A 14127-nucleotide genomic window follows, 5' to 3' on the forward strand; every position below is an offset into this window, starting at 1 on the left:
TTTAATAAGGGGCATAGGGATCGATTTCAATAACAATCGTAAATCCACATTTTGTAACGCCGAGACAAATAACTGAAGGAATAATTTCAAAAGCTAACACAGAAGCCTTCTGCTCCTGCTGTGTAATCACTACCTTCTTATTATTAGCAAGAAAACGTTCTTTTCTTAGCCGGGTCTCAAGGTAGCAGCTAGTTTGACAAGGAAAGACCTTTGGGAAGGGTAGCAGCCTAAGCCAATTCATAAGTGTGGGGCTGGCTAAGTAGATCGACGTGGCTATTTCTGAGCTATCGTCCCAGGCAAAAGGTTTCTTATTTGGGTGTCCAGCCCGGCGGAGACCGAGCCCGCGGGCCACCCTAGCGCTCGCTCTGGCTACGCCGCCTCAGCCCCTCCTCAAGCGCACCTGGACATTTAACCAACAGCTAAGTCCGGCGGCCGAATGACTGAGCCGGCGGCAATATTCAAACAACCGTTTTGGGATAGAGAAGGAAAAACTCTCTCCGGGTCCCTCAGAACCACCCCGAGGCGGGACAAGCCACCGCCACCCCGGGCAACTGGAACCCGCCGGGCAGAAGACGGGCGTCAATAGAATGGCCTCCCCAGCCGTCCCCACGCCCCAATCCGAGGCCCGGGGAGGGCGGCGGGGCTAGGCCTGTCTCCCCGCGGAAGCCTGGCTCGGCAGCGGAGGGCCCTCTGGGGTTTCTCTTCCCAGACCCAGAGTCCTGGAGCAGCTAGCAAGGGAAACACGAAAGGACAGCGCCGCGGAGCTCACCCCAGGTTCAAGGCATCGCGCACCCTGCGGCAGCGGCTGCGCTGCCTCAGCCCACAGCTCAGACCTGCGGGTGGCCGCGACTCAGGCCGGGACCCGGTCGCACCTCTGTGACGCAAAGCCCCGCCCCCCGCGCGTTGCCGGGAGACGGCGCCCAACCTTCCTCTGCAGCGCCCCTACCGACCCGCGCTCCGCAGCTCCTGAGGGCTTTCGAGCCCAGATGGTCATCTGAGACGAGAGGTGGCGGCGAAGGAGAGTCTCGCCTGTCACGCTCCCGGAGCAGGGGCTTCATGAGGTGGCCATGGAAACAGCCTGGCAGACTCCCATCTCTCCTGGTGCCATCTCCGGAGCGGAAAGTGGAGCGCCCCGCTGGCGACCAAGGCCGCACTGAGAGCCCTGGTTTGGTCAACAGTTGGGCTCCAAGGTACCACTTCCCAGACCTCCAGCCTCCCCACTGATGATAGATACACAAAGGTCATCTTGTTTCTTTATGAGGCAATGGATTGTGTTCACCTAGCCGAGTTGTTAAGCATAAGAGAATGTATGAAAAGTAATTACAAGGTTCAAAATCCTGAGCTTTGATAAATGATAGATATGATGATGAGCACATGTTAGTGATATTACTGCTCTGCGGGACGTCTGAATCAGTAATTGCTGTCTTTTAAGCATCTGTTGTGTGCCAAATACTGCACTAGGCACTTTACGGGCATTGCTCTTGTTTAAGTCGTCTGGTCAAAGTTGCCTAGACAATAAACAGCAGAGCAAGGATTTTAACCCAGGTACAGCTGACACTGCTGCCTCTATGCTTAGCAGTTAAACTGGTTTTTATGTTTCTTGTTTGTACACCCCTCCTTCACCAGTCACTTGTAGATTCACCTTGTGAAGAGCTAATTCTTCCCTCTAATAATAATACTCTTTGACCATTTACTATATGTCAAACCGTATTTTAAGGACTTTAAAGGTATTAATTCGTTTAATCTTCACAGCAATCCTGTGAGTAGGTATTATTAATACCTTCACTAAGACACAGGCTTAGAAAAGTCGATTAACTTTTCCAAGGTCAAACAACCATTAAGGAGCAGAGCCAGATTCAAACCCAAGCAGACAGAACCCTGAACCTGTGTTTTTAATTCCTGTTTTAAACTGCCTCGGTAGTACGGTAAGACTTCATTAGCGCTAGGTCCATGCCTGTTTGTGCACCATTATTTCCCTGACAGCCAGCATGGTACTTGTTCAATATTTGAACATTTGATGAATATTTGAACACTGGAAAAGGAAAAAGCTTAAAAATGAAGTATAAATAATGATTTAATAAATTCCAAAAGATATCAAATTCAACAAGATTCCATAGTTCAGCCTAATCCGGGCCTGGGAGTTAGAAATATTACTCTGTAAAAATTGCCTTCAATTAAACATTGTATTGGAAGTTCTGGTCAATGAAATAAAAAAAGACAAATATATAAAAGGCATCCAAGTTGGAAAGGAAGTTGTAGCACTGCATTTATTTGCATAAGAAAATTGTGGAATACTACAAAAAAGCTGCTAGAACTCATAAGTGAGTTTACAAAAGTTGCAAGATACAAAATCAAATATACAAAAATCAGTTGTATTTCTATATACTAGCAATGAACAATTAGAAATGGAAAATTTTTAAATATCTCTTATCAGCAAAAAAAAAAAAAAAAAAAAAAGCAGCAAATTTGGGACAAATTTGACCAAAGATGAGAAAGACATGTATACTGAAAACTATAAAATATTATGGAATAGCAAAGACATGGAATCAACCCAGGTGCTTATCAATAGTGGATTGGATAAAGAAAGTGTGGTACATATACGCCATGGAATACTATACAACCACAAAAAGGACTAGATCATATCTTTTGCAGCAACATGAATACAGCTGGAGGCCATTGTCCTAAGCAAAATAATGCAGAAACAGGAAACCAAATACCGCATGTTCTCACTTATAAGTAGGAGCTAAACGTTGAGTACACAGACACAAAGTTGGGAACAATAAACACTGGGGATTCCAAAAGGGTAGAAAAAACTACTATTGGGTACTATGTTCACCACTTGGGTGACCTGGATCATTAGAAGCCTAAACCTCAGCATTGTTCGATATACCCATGTAACAAAACTACACGTGTACCCCCTGAATCTAAAATAAAATAAAAAACATTGTTAAGAGAAATTAAAGAAGACCTAAATAAATAGAGATACATTATGTTCATGAATCAGAAGACTGAGCATTTTTAAGATATCACTTCTGCCTAAATTGACCTACAGATTTAAGGAAATTCCAATAAAAATTCTAGCAGATTTCTTTTTGATGGAAATGACCAAACTAATTCTAAAATTTATATGGAGATGCAAAGGACCTAGGATAGTCAAGACTTTCATCAAAAAAAACAAAGTTTTGGGACTTACACTACCTGATCTCAAGACATTATAATAAGAGCTACTCAACACAGTATAGTATAGGTATGAAAATAGATAGAGTAATGGAACAGTATATAGAACCCAGAGATGTATCTATACATATGTCATCAATTGATTTTCGACAAATATGCCAAGGCAATTCAGTGGGGGAAAAGATAATCTTTTCAACAAATAAACCTGAAAAAATTGAATAGCATATGCCAAAAAACTCTTAATATCTTGCTCCTTTCCTCATACTGTCACAGGATCCTTGGAGTGTTGCTCTGCCAGCCAGAAACCTCTGTGGCCGGTGGCTCCTTTGCCCGAGTTTTGCTCAGGCCCACTGGGCTCATTCTGCCCATTTGGCCTTGCAGGCTGCACTCGGCTCATGCCACTGGCCCAGATCCCATGCCTGCCAAGGACGAGCCAGGCGCAAAGTGGTGAGGGGTGCGTGAGCAAGTGAGCGCGAGGTCTGGCCGCTGTGCACAGCTAGGCACGCCAGCTGTGGCGGGGCGGGTGGCTCCAGGTGCTGGCATGGGCGCTGGCTCCTGCAAAGCTGTGGCTGGACCAGGAGTACCACAAGCGGCTTCCACTGCTGGCACTAGGGAATGTGGTGGCACCTGGAAGCTTTGAGATGCCAGGAAATGCAGAGCCCCCAAGAGGGTGTTACAGTCCTGGCTCAGGGAGCTCTTAGGTCTGGGCTTCTCGAAGTGTCAAAGCTCTTCTCTCCTTCTCTCTTCTGTCCTTCTCATCGCTTGCAACATGGGGAGTGAGGGGGTGTTTCAGCCCTGTTTGTGTTACAGTTCTTTCAGTCCTGCCATTTGGCAGGTCCCAAGTTGTTGTCCCACATCCAGGAATAATGAGGTATGCAGACAATTGGAGGGTGAGTAGGGTGAAGAGGTGCTTTATTGAGTGACAGTATAGCTCTCAGGAGACTCTAAGTGGGTAGCTCCTTTCTGCAGGCAGGTTGTCCGGTTGTCTGCCCAGCTCTCAGCTGAGAGGAGACCCACAGTGGGTGGCTCCTTTCTGCAGGCAGGTCGTCAGGATGTCTGCTGAGCCCTCAGCAGAGAGGAGATCTGGAGTGGGTAGCTCCTACACGCAGGCAGGTTGTCCCCATGTTTCTTGAGTCTGGCTGAGCCTAGGATATTTATGGGCTCAAGAGGGAGGAAGTGCATGCTGATTGGTCCATGGGCAGTAGAAAAAGTGCCATAAGTTCTCACTCCAGTCTGAGGACCTGGCAGCCCAGCCCCCAGGCTTCAGACTCTCAGTTGCCTAAAGGTAGGGTTTCACTGAGGACCCACCCCTTTTTGCCCAGGAGCCAGTCTGCCTCATGCCACTGTCCATGGCACCAAGGCTGTTTGTGCCAGCGGGAGCCTGCAGGCCCACACTGAGCTGCCCTCAGCGCCCCCTCAGCTTCCCCTCCCATGCTCATCAGTGTCCAAAGTCCAGAGGGGGCTGAGGTGGCAGGGGGCTGGCATGTCAGTGTTGCCCCAAGCATGCACACACCTGCCAGATTGTGACAGCGTCTGGGCTTGGCCACAACTTTGCTCTGCCCCAGAAGCAGGGAGAGGCCAGACAGCAGGAGCAGGCACTTTCAAGCCTGTGGGGGCAAGGGGCTTCCTGGGCCCCTGAGAGCACAAGGATGCCCAGGTCCACAGCTGTGGTTGGGCAGCTGCAGCTGTGCCCAGGAGGGTGGGGCTCCCACCCCACCAACTCAGAAGCAGGTGGGGCTCCAGCCTGTTCCTGTTTTCATGGTTCTGTGGAGTGTGCAGCCCTGGCCAGGCCTCCCTCACTGCAGCTTGCATCTTTGCAGCAGCTGCTCCAGACGGGCTGCCACTGCCATCAATACTATATGTAAAAATTAACTAAAAATGGATCATACATCTAAATGTAAGAGCTAAAATCACAAAACTTCTAGAAGATATCTTAGTGACCTTGGATTTCTCAAAGACTTCTTAAAGATGGCACAAAAAGCACAAACTATAAATGAAAAAAAAAAAAAAGGATGAATTGTACTTCATCAAAATTAAATACTTCTGCTTTTTAAAAGACTCTGTTAAGAAAATAAAAAGGTAAGCCACAAACTTGGAGAAAGTATTTGCGAAACATATATTTGGCAAAAGACTTCTAACTAGAATACATAAATAACTCTTACAACCCAATAAGAAGACAACCCAACTTTTTAAAATGGGCAAAATATTTGAACAGACATTTCACCAAAGATTTATAAATGACAAAATAAGTGCATGAATTAATACCATTAATCATTAGGGAAATGCAAATCAGGAAAATAATAAGGTTTCACTGTGCACTGTAGCTACTAGAATGGCTAAAATTTGAAAGACAGATCATATCACATGTTGACAAGGATGTGGAACAACAGAAATTCTTGTATACTGCATGTTGGAAATGTAAAATAATACAACAATTTGGAAAAGAGTTTGGCTATTTCTTAAAAAGCTAAATATACACCTACCACATGATCTAACCATTTTACTCCTAGGTATTTACCCAAGAGCAATGAAGGCATATGCCTACACAGAGGCTTATACATGAATATACATAGCTTTAACTGTAATAGGCCCAAACTGGAAACAACCAAATGTCCATGAGTAGGTGAATGGAAAATAAATTGTGGCATATCCACAAAATGGAATATTACTAAGCAATAAGAAGGAATGGTTGATTGGTATACCTCAACAACATGGATGAGTCTCAAAATAACTATTTTGAGTGAAAGAAGCCAGATCCTCCCCCGCAATAAAAGAGTACCTGTGGTGTGACGCCATTCATATACAATTCTAGGCAATCCAAACTAATGTATAGTGACAAAATGCAGATCAGTGGTTGCCTGGGAATGCGGGAGCAGTGTTGTGGAGATGGGTGGGAGGGTAGTACCACAAAGGAGTGGGAGGAAACTTTTTGGAGTGATGGATATGTTCATCTTCTTGATTTTAAATGATGGTTTCACAGATGCATATGTTGAAACTTCTCAACTCGTACATTTTAATCATGCACAGTTTATTGTATGCCAATTATACCTCAATAAACTTGTTTAAAAAAGACATAGCTAGTTGAATTTTAAAGGGTTTTGTATTGTGGCCTAAACAGTCATGAAAAGTGCTCTGCACAAATTGCCTTCAACTTTGTAAAATAGAGCCATTACTCCTTCTTATATCTCATGGGGAGTATAGTGAGGATTGACAAGGAAAAGACTAAAAGACTAAAATATTTAAAATCAGTATTAAATTAATATTATTAATGACATCTCTAGATACCTTCTCATCACAACAGCTTTCTTCTTCTTACCTTTGCATGAGCATAATGAATTAATTAGAATGTAAAACAGAACAAGACAGTAATAAAGATTATCTTAAAAAACAAAATAGAAGAGATTAGAAATCCTCTGTGGAATAGGAATTTTGAAGCTACTTTGCAGCAGAATAAGGAAAACTTTATTTTTCTTACATATAAAAAAGTATAAGAAAAATATTTGTAGGAAACCACATATATAAATAGTAAAAGTTATGGAAGAAGAAACCTCTAAGTTTTTTATAAGAAGAAGGATCATTTTGCCATGAGTCTTGTAATTTGTAATGTATGTTCAGATTTTCATAGTTTTTTAAATAAGTATTTTCCAGTTAAAGAAAACACAGAGGCTTTGATAAATTCTAGTAAACATGGTCCTGTAGTCAAGATCAGGAAAATTGGAGACTTTTGGAATGGTATATTTTTTCTTCCATTTATTTATTTATTTATTTATTTATTTATGAGGTGGAGTCTTGCTCTGTTGCCAGGCTAGAGTGCAGTGGCACAATCTCGGCTCACTGCAACCTCCGCCTCCCAGGTTCAAGAGATTCTCGTGCCTCAGCCTCTCGAGTATCTGGGAATACAGGTGTGCGCCACCATGCCCAGCTAATTTTTGTATTTTTAGTAGAGATGGGGTTTCACTATGTTGGCCAGGATGATCTCGATCTCCTGACCTCGTGATCTGCCCGCCTCGGCCTCCCAAAGTGCTGGGATTACAGGTGTGATCCACTGAGCCCAGCCTGGTATATTTTTTTCTAGGAAAGTATGTCCAATGTCTCCTGCTTTTTTGTAAGGTCACTAAGCATCTGTGTTAGGACTGTGGGAATATATGAGGAAGACCCTGAGTGGCTATGGATTGTAAACATTTTTAACTTTCCGTATGTAATTCATAAAATCATAAAGTTGAAAAAAGACTGCCTAACAATCGCCTGGTCCAATATTCTTCTTTTAGAGGTGAGGAAGCTGAGACCCAAAGATGGAAAGTGATTCATCTAAGGGGTACAGAGCAAGTTAATTAAACTGGGTTAGAATCCAGATTTCCTGGCCACTAGTCCAGTGCTTTTCCTAACAATACACTACTGCTTTTAATTCTGTCAGTGTAGAATAAGAGGAACACCTAGTCACCTAAAATTAAGACGAAAGCTTCATCATTTTCTAGGACTTTGAGGCTTTTCTATCTCATTGATTTCTTCTTTCTGGCTGCTTCTACTCAAACTTTGTTCTCAGCCTTCTGCTCTTATTTTTTAAATGTTTGGGGCCGGGGGGCGGTGGTGCTCATGCACTCACAGCTTTAATTTTCACCAGTGTTGAGATGGTTTCCAAATCTACATTGCCAATTGTTATCTTTCATTGGTGTTCTAATCCGGTATTTCCATATTTACACATAATATCTCTCATAGGAATGAATGTACCACAGCAAGGGTGCCTTGATTTCCATACTAAAGTGGCTTCAGAATTCCAGCGTATCTGTGCTGGTGTCAGTCAATAGCAACCGCAATAGTTCTTGGCAGAGATGGCAGAGCCTAGAGAATTCTGTGGTTGCTGGAGGAAAAGGCAGCAGTCTCCAGTGGACAAGACATCATGTAGAGAAGTAGCACTGTTACTTGGTAGATGCCACCTAGGATATTACCAGGGAATCAGCAGTAGAGTCTGGCAGAGTCAGCAGTTCCTTGTGGGTGTGGCAGTGCCCAGAAGATATAGAAGCAGTGCCTAGTAGGGGCAGCAGTACCAGCTAGATGTGGTGATACCTAGAGGAAATAGTTATGGAGGAAGATGGACAAAACAAGGGGAAGTGGTCAGTGTGCCTAGCGGGAGATATGATAGTATTCACTGGAGTAGAATTAGTGGAATTAGTGGAGTAGACCAGTGGGAAAACACTTAATGCTATGTGGAAGGTGATCACACTTGCTTGTGAGCATATTTGAGTCACCTGCTTCCAGATAAACCTAGAAGTTTGTTGTTCTGCGGGGAGCAGGATTCTGCTTTAATCGATTCAGAGAAAAGTTACATTGGTGCATCCCAAGCCATCATTCTGGGAAAGGAGAATAAAAGAAGTTTGGATATTACAACAAAAATAATTATCTTTGCCCCCATCCATACTTCATTTATATCAGGTAATAACCCTCAGTGCAGAGTTCTCTGAGAAAACTCTTTTAAGCATATGGCTTAAGCCTGGAGGCCTAAGTAGGATCCACGAAGAGAAAGATGCAACAGGGGCTGAGTCCAGCTATCTAACTCCATATGTGGAATAGAAGTAATGGTAGAAAGTGGCTAACCTGCGTCTAGGGCGCAAGTCCTGCCAGAGGCTGAGACAGGAAGCAGAGAAGTGAGTGCCATGAATGGGTGCTGAGCTTTAAGGTAGCTCAGCTACCTTGAAGTTTAAGGATAACCTCATCAATCAATAAAATGTGTGTGCCTACCATTGAAAGTCTTGGTCTTTGTCAGTAGGTTTAGCGACTCCTCTTCCTATGAGTGGGGAATTGGAAAGGGGACATGAAGAAGTGGGAGCAAGGATGGGAATATTCTCTTGCTTATGTTACAGTCCGAACTGTTCCCCAGCTCTGATTGTCACCACATGACTTTTTTCCTTCATGCAGATGCAGATTCCTCAGCTTTCCCACTGACTACTGAATGATTATTATGTCATTTTGTTTGAGTATATTAGTGCTTTGATCTACCTGCCTCGGGGTTTCAGGCTTGGGGCAAGATCTCTTGCAGGCAAAGCCTTGCTTCTGTCCAAATCAGGATCAAATTTGCCTCTTGCCTCTGCCCAGATACCAGTCAATACCAAGGGTGAGATGACATCATTTCTGATGCCTACTAATGGTATGTGCCTCATCCCACCCTCCTTTCTGGATTGACCACCCAGACATATTTTCCATGCTGGATCTTCATATTTAAACATCCTCTCCCCATATTTTTACTACATAGAAATTTCTGTTATGTTCTTTAACTTGACGGTATATCTTTGATACATTATTTTACTAATCTTTACTAATGGAGAAAACATAATATGATTTTAAGATATTTGGTTATGATACTATAACATCGTATCGATGTTATATAACATCAATGTTTTATAACATTGAAGTCTTTGTTATTACTGTTATCATTTATGATGTTGACTTTGCTGAAATGTTGATCTTCATAGGTAAAAGAATATGCACAGTGGAGTACTGAATTAGGTCTTTTGGTATTCTTTTTTTTTTTTTTTTGAGATGGAGTCTTGCTCTGTCGCCCAGGCTGGAGTGCAGTGGTGCGATCTCGGCTCACTGCAAGCTCCACCTCCTGGGTTCACGCCATTCTCCTGCCTCAGCCTCCTGAGTAGCTGGGACTACAGGCGCCCGCCACCACGCCCGGCTAATTTTTTGTATTTTTAGTAGAGACGGGGTTTCACCGTGTTAGCCAGGATGATCTTGATCTCCCGACCTCATGATCCGCCTGCCTTGGCTTCCCAAAGTGCTGGGATTACAGGTGTGAGCCAGCGTGCCTGGCCAGTCTTTTGGTATTCTTAATTGATTTTGTCTTTTTTTCTATCACAAAAATATTTTCAACTTCACTGAAGGCAAAATTCAAACAAAATAACAGTGGAGTGGTAAAATGAGTCTGGAAGTTATCAAAAAGGATTCTAATTTTCAGAAAATGATGGCAATCTAAAATTCTGCACTAAATGCTAAGAAAGCGTCCTAGGCTTCAAAGACTAAAATAGAAATATAGAGACCAAGGAATCAAATTTTTGCCAATACTTATTAGCTTTGTTGTTACTGAGGGAACTCAATTTGTTTTTAATTACCCACAGTCCAAAACACACTGCAGTTTAGTTTCTCTATTAAGATAAATATCAGTTTGACTTACAGAAGTGAGTCAATGGCCAACTCAGAGAGTAAAGTTCAAGTATAGTAGCCTTTATGCATTCTTCTGGCTTGTTCATAGTTGCATTCTACACCAAAATAAAGTATTCAAGAAGAACAAAATTTAAGTGGACAGAAACAGTTAGCCCTGTACTGAGTGACCTTAGCACTTAATGCAGATAACTGGATAAAGGTATAACTTGCAGCTCATGAAATCTCAGTGAATAAATGTATACATGATGAATGTATATACATGTATTCATTCAACATTTACTCACAGCCTACTCAGTAAATGTGCTAGATTTACATATACTACCCAAGTGCTAAGAATGCAAGGAAAAATAAAATATGTACACAATTAACATAATACAATGTGGCATATAACACAGATGTGTAAACAAATTTTAAAAAGAAAGAATGAGAAAAATTCATTAATGTGATAGGAGGCAGCCTTCTAAAATGGCTCCCAATGATCTCCTCATCTTGGTATTCATGCCCTTGTATAATCCCTTCCACTTAAGCATGGGCTGGACATAGTGACTTGCTTCCAATGAATAAAATATGGCAAAAATAATCGGATGTCACTTCGAAGATTAGATCTAAAAGATTATAACTTTCATCTTGCCAGCACGCTTCCTCTCTGGCTCTTCTTGCTTATTGCTCTGATGAAGCAAACCGCTATTTTGTGAGCTGTCCCAAAGGGGAGGTTTGCTAGGAAAGAACTGAGGGTAGCCTTTGGCCAACTGCAAACAAGGAATTAATCCTGTCAACAACCATGCGAGTGAGCTTGAAAGTTAATTCTATTCCAGTCAAATCCTGAGATGACTAAGCCCTGGAAGACAGTTGAATTGCAGCTTTGTGAGAGACCCCGAAGCAGGGGACCCAGTTACCCATGCCTGGTTTCCTGATCCACAACAATGTTAGATAATAAATGCTGTAAAAGTCATGAAGTTTTTAGATAATTTGCTTTTCAACAATTGATAACTCATACAATTAGGAAGAAAAGGAAGGTGATTAAAATAGAAGGAATGGCAGTTGCAAAATGAGAGGGCATCGTACAGATTAAATTCTAGAATGGTAAATGAATTTGTGTAGCCATAGCATGAAGTATCCTTGCAGGAATGAATAAGATTTGAGAAGAGGATTCAAGGTCAAATTGTAAAATGCACTCAGTGTCATTTATTTCACTGTTCCCTTACAGAAAACTTGCCAACTATTTTAAACAACAAAAAAAAGTTTAAGACAGGAAATTAGGTACTTATAAAATTATTGGAAGGGCTGGAGAAATAATTTCTGGTCTCAGCCCCAGGAATGCCTCCCAGAGCAATTATCTCTGAATGGGTCCACTAGGGAAGCTTCCGTCTCCTCTATAATAAGAAAAGTGGGGAAGCAGGAGATGCAACTGTAATAGGTCTGTTGCTCAATGTGCATGGGAAGTCAATATGCCAAGACGCAGGGGTTGCAGCAGAGAAAGAGGTTTAATCATAGATAGGGCTGCTGAACAAGGAGACAGAAGGAAACTTCAAATCTGTCTCCTCAGAAAATTTGAGGCTAAGGTTTTTAAGGGTTTCGGAGTGGGCCAGAGTATGGAGGTCATTGACTGGTCAAAGAGTGCAGGGGAAGTCATGTGACAGGAAGGTAAAGAAATGATATTCTCTCTCTCTAAAGAAAAGGAGGGGGCAAGAGCTCATTGAAGAAATGGTTGATTCTAGAACCAGGGCAAAATAAGATACAAAAAAAGATACAAAATAAGAGGACACTGGAGCATCTTATAGTGCCAGAAAGTAGGGAAGTGCCCAATAAAAACACGAAGAAGGGAATATGTCAAAGGGATACAGGAGCAAATGGAAAGAGCTCCCAATAGTCCCAATAGTCAGTCTTCGAAAAAATTGAGCAACAACATAAATAAAATAGTATTGTATTATTACCTAAAGTAGAAAATATTCTTGAGTCCATACTGATATGAATAAATTATTTAAAAAATAAATTAATGAGGGGGAATAGATGAATCTCCTGTACAGGAAAAGCCCAAATAATTTATGTAGATATTCCACTTTTGAGGAAGCAGAGCATAACTCCTTTCTAATTAGGTGTGGGTTGTGCATAGTGACATCTTTTCAAAGAATATGGTATAGAGAAGAATAACTTTACAGTGGAGAAACCTGACAAACACTACCTCAGCCAGGTGCTTAAGGTGAACATCAGCAGTGATAGATCATGTTGATATAACATGATGAAAATGGCACTGTATTTCTGTGGTCTTCCTTCCCAAAACATACAGCTCCGGTGTAGTCATAAGAAAACATCAGAGAAATCCCAGCTGAGAGCTATCCTATATAATACCCAAATAGTACTCCTCAGAACTGACAAAATTATCAAGAACAAGAGAAGTCAGAGAAGCTGTCATAGCCAAGAGGACACGTGATGACTAAATGTAACGTGGTGTGCTGGGTAGGCTATTAGAACAGTAAAAGGACATTAGGTAAAAACTAAGGAAATCAGAATAAAGTATGGACTTCAGTTAATAATAGCATATCAGCATTGTTTCATTAAGTTACAAATGCACCATACTAATATCAGATATTAATAACGGGAAACTGGTGTGGATGTATGGGAAATCTTTGCACTATTTTCACATTTTTTTGGTAAATTTATTCTGAAATAAGTTTTTTTTTTTAAAAAAGCAAATAGTCTTCTAGATGCTAAAGGAGGAAATCTTAAATCACATCAGCACCGTTTGGAAATGTGGGCATTTCCTGAGGAACATAGAGAGAGGAGAGAATTCCTATTTGATTTTAGTATTACGAAAAATGCTCTTAGATCAAACTTGACCTTATATATAGACTATTACAGGAGTAACCCACTAAATTTTACTTATTTTAACTAGAAAATCCAACTAACAAAGAAGTGCTTTCCCTCCTGTTTAGAGGCTATGATATTACGATTATATAAATATTAATATATTGGTTTTCATCCACAGTTCCTGGCTCATAACTCCCAGAGTCCTTGTTACAGTCTTTTGTTACAATGTTGAGGTGCTTTAGGGCTCAGGAGCAGGTCTCAGGAAACAGAATCTCTCTTTTTTTTTTTTTTTTTGGAGACGGAGTCTCACTCTGTTACCTAGGCTAGAGTGCAGTGGCACGATCTTGGCTCACTGCAACCTCCGCCTCCTGGGTTCAAGCAATTCTCCTGCCTCAGCCTCCCGAGTAGTTGGGACTATAGGTGCACACCACCGTGCCTGGCTAATTTTTTTGTATTTTAGTAGAGACGGGGTTTCACCGTGTTGCCCAGGCTTGTCTCGAACTCCTGAGCTCAGGCAATCTGCCTGCCTCGGCCTCCCAAAGTGCTAGGATTATAGGCATGAGCTACCGTGCCCGGCCAACAGAATCTCTTTCTCTGACCTTCTCCTGTCCTCCTTTTACCTGCTCCAAGGCAGGACTCTAATCTGATTGTGGGTCAAAAGACCCTCATTGCAGACAGAGTCCTGCCCCATAATCTGGAGGATGAAAAGCTGCACAGAGAGGCCAAGGAGAACCTGAACAGGCAGGCCTTGCTGGGCTTCCCAACTCAGTCTATTAGTATGAGGTCATACCCTTTTTGTCCAATCACATTTCTACACAGTTGTCAATCATGCCTATGTAAAAAACAAAAAGGACAGGGTTTGGAGAGCTTCCGGATGGCTGAACACATGGAGGTTCCTGGAAGATGGCGCGGGTATGGAATCTCTGCACCCCTTCCTCCCTACCTGGCCCTATGCATCTCTTCATCTGTATCCTTCGTAAC

General features: G+C 42.2%; 1 protein-coding gene and 1 long non-coding RNA gene across 5 annotated transcripts in view, besides 1 other annotated feature; one reads left to right on the top strand and one right to left on the bottom strand.

Annotated features, from left to right (window-relative positions):
• Positions 1–835, bottom strand: part of RNF141 (ring finger protein 141) — a 29515-nt gene extending 28680 nt beyond the window's left edge. The window contains exon 1 of the mRNA NM_016422.4: positions 770–835. The gene's annotated coding sequence lies outside the window, so the exon portion shown is untranslated. The remainder of the gene's footprint in view (positions 1–769) is intronic.
• IRAG1-AS1 (IRAG1 antisense RNA 1) overlaps positions 884–14127 on the top strand; it is a 58697-nt gene continuing 45453 nt past the window's right edge. For all 4 annotated transcript variants that reach the window (NR_046374.1, NR_046375.1, NR_034093.2 and 1 more), the window contains exon 1: positions 884–1190. This is a non-coding gene — a long non-coding RNA (IRAG1 antisense RNA 1). The remainder of the gene's footprint in view (positions 1191–14127) is intronic.
• Positions 911–1020: an enhancer, noted in NCBI's record as "active region_4438". NCBI's record gives its function as "activates an Ori minimal core promoter by ATAC-STARR-seq in GM12878 lymphoblastoid cells {active_cell/tissue: GM12878}" and the evidence as "EXISTENCE:reporter gene assay evidence [ECO:0000049][PMID:35858748]".

Source organism: Homo sapiens, chromosome 11, assembly GCF_000001405.40.
Source record: "Homo sapiens chromosome 11, GRCh38.p14 Primary Assembly".
NCBI classification, from domain to species: domain Eukaryota; kingdom Metazoa; phylum Chordata; class Mammalia; order Primates; family Hominidae; genus Homo; species Homo sapiens.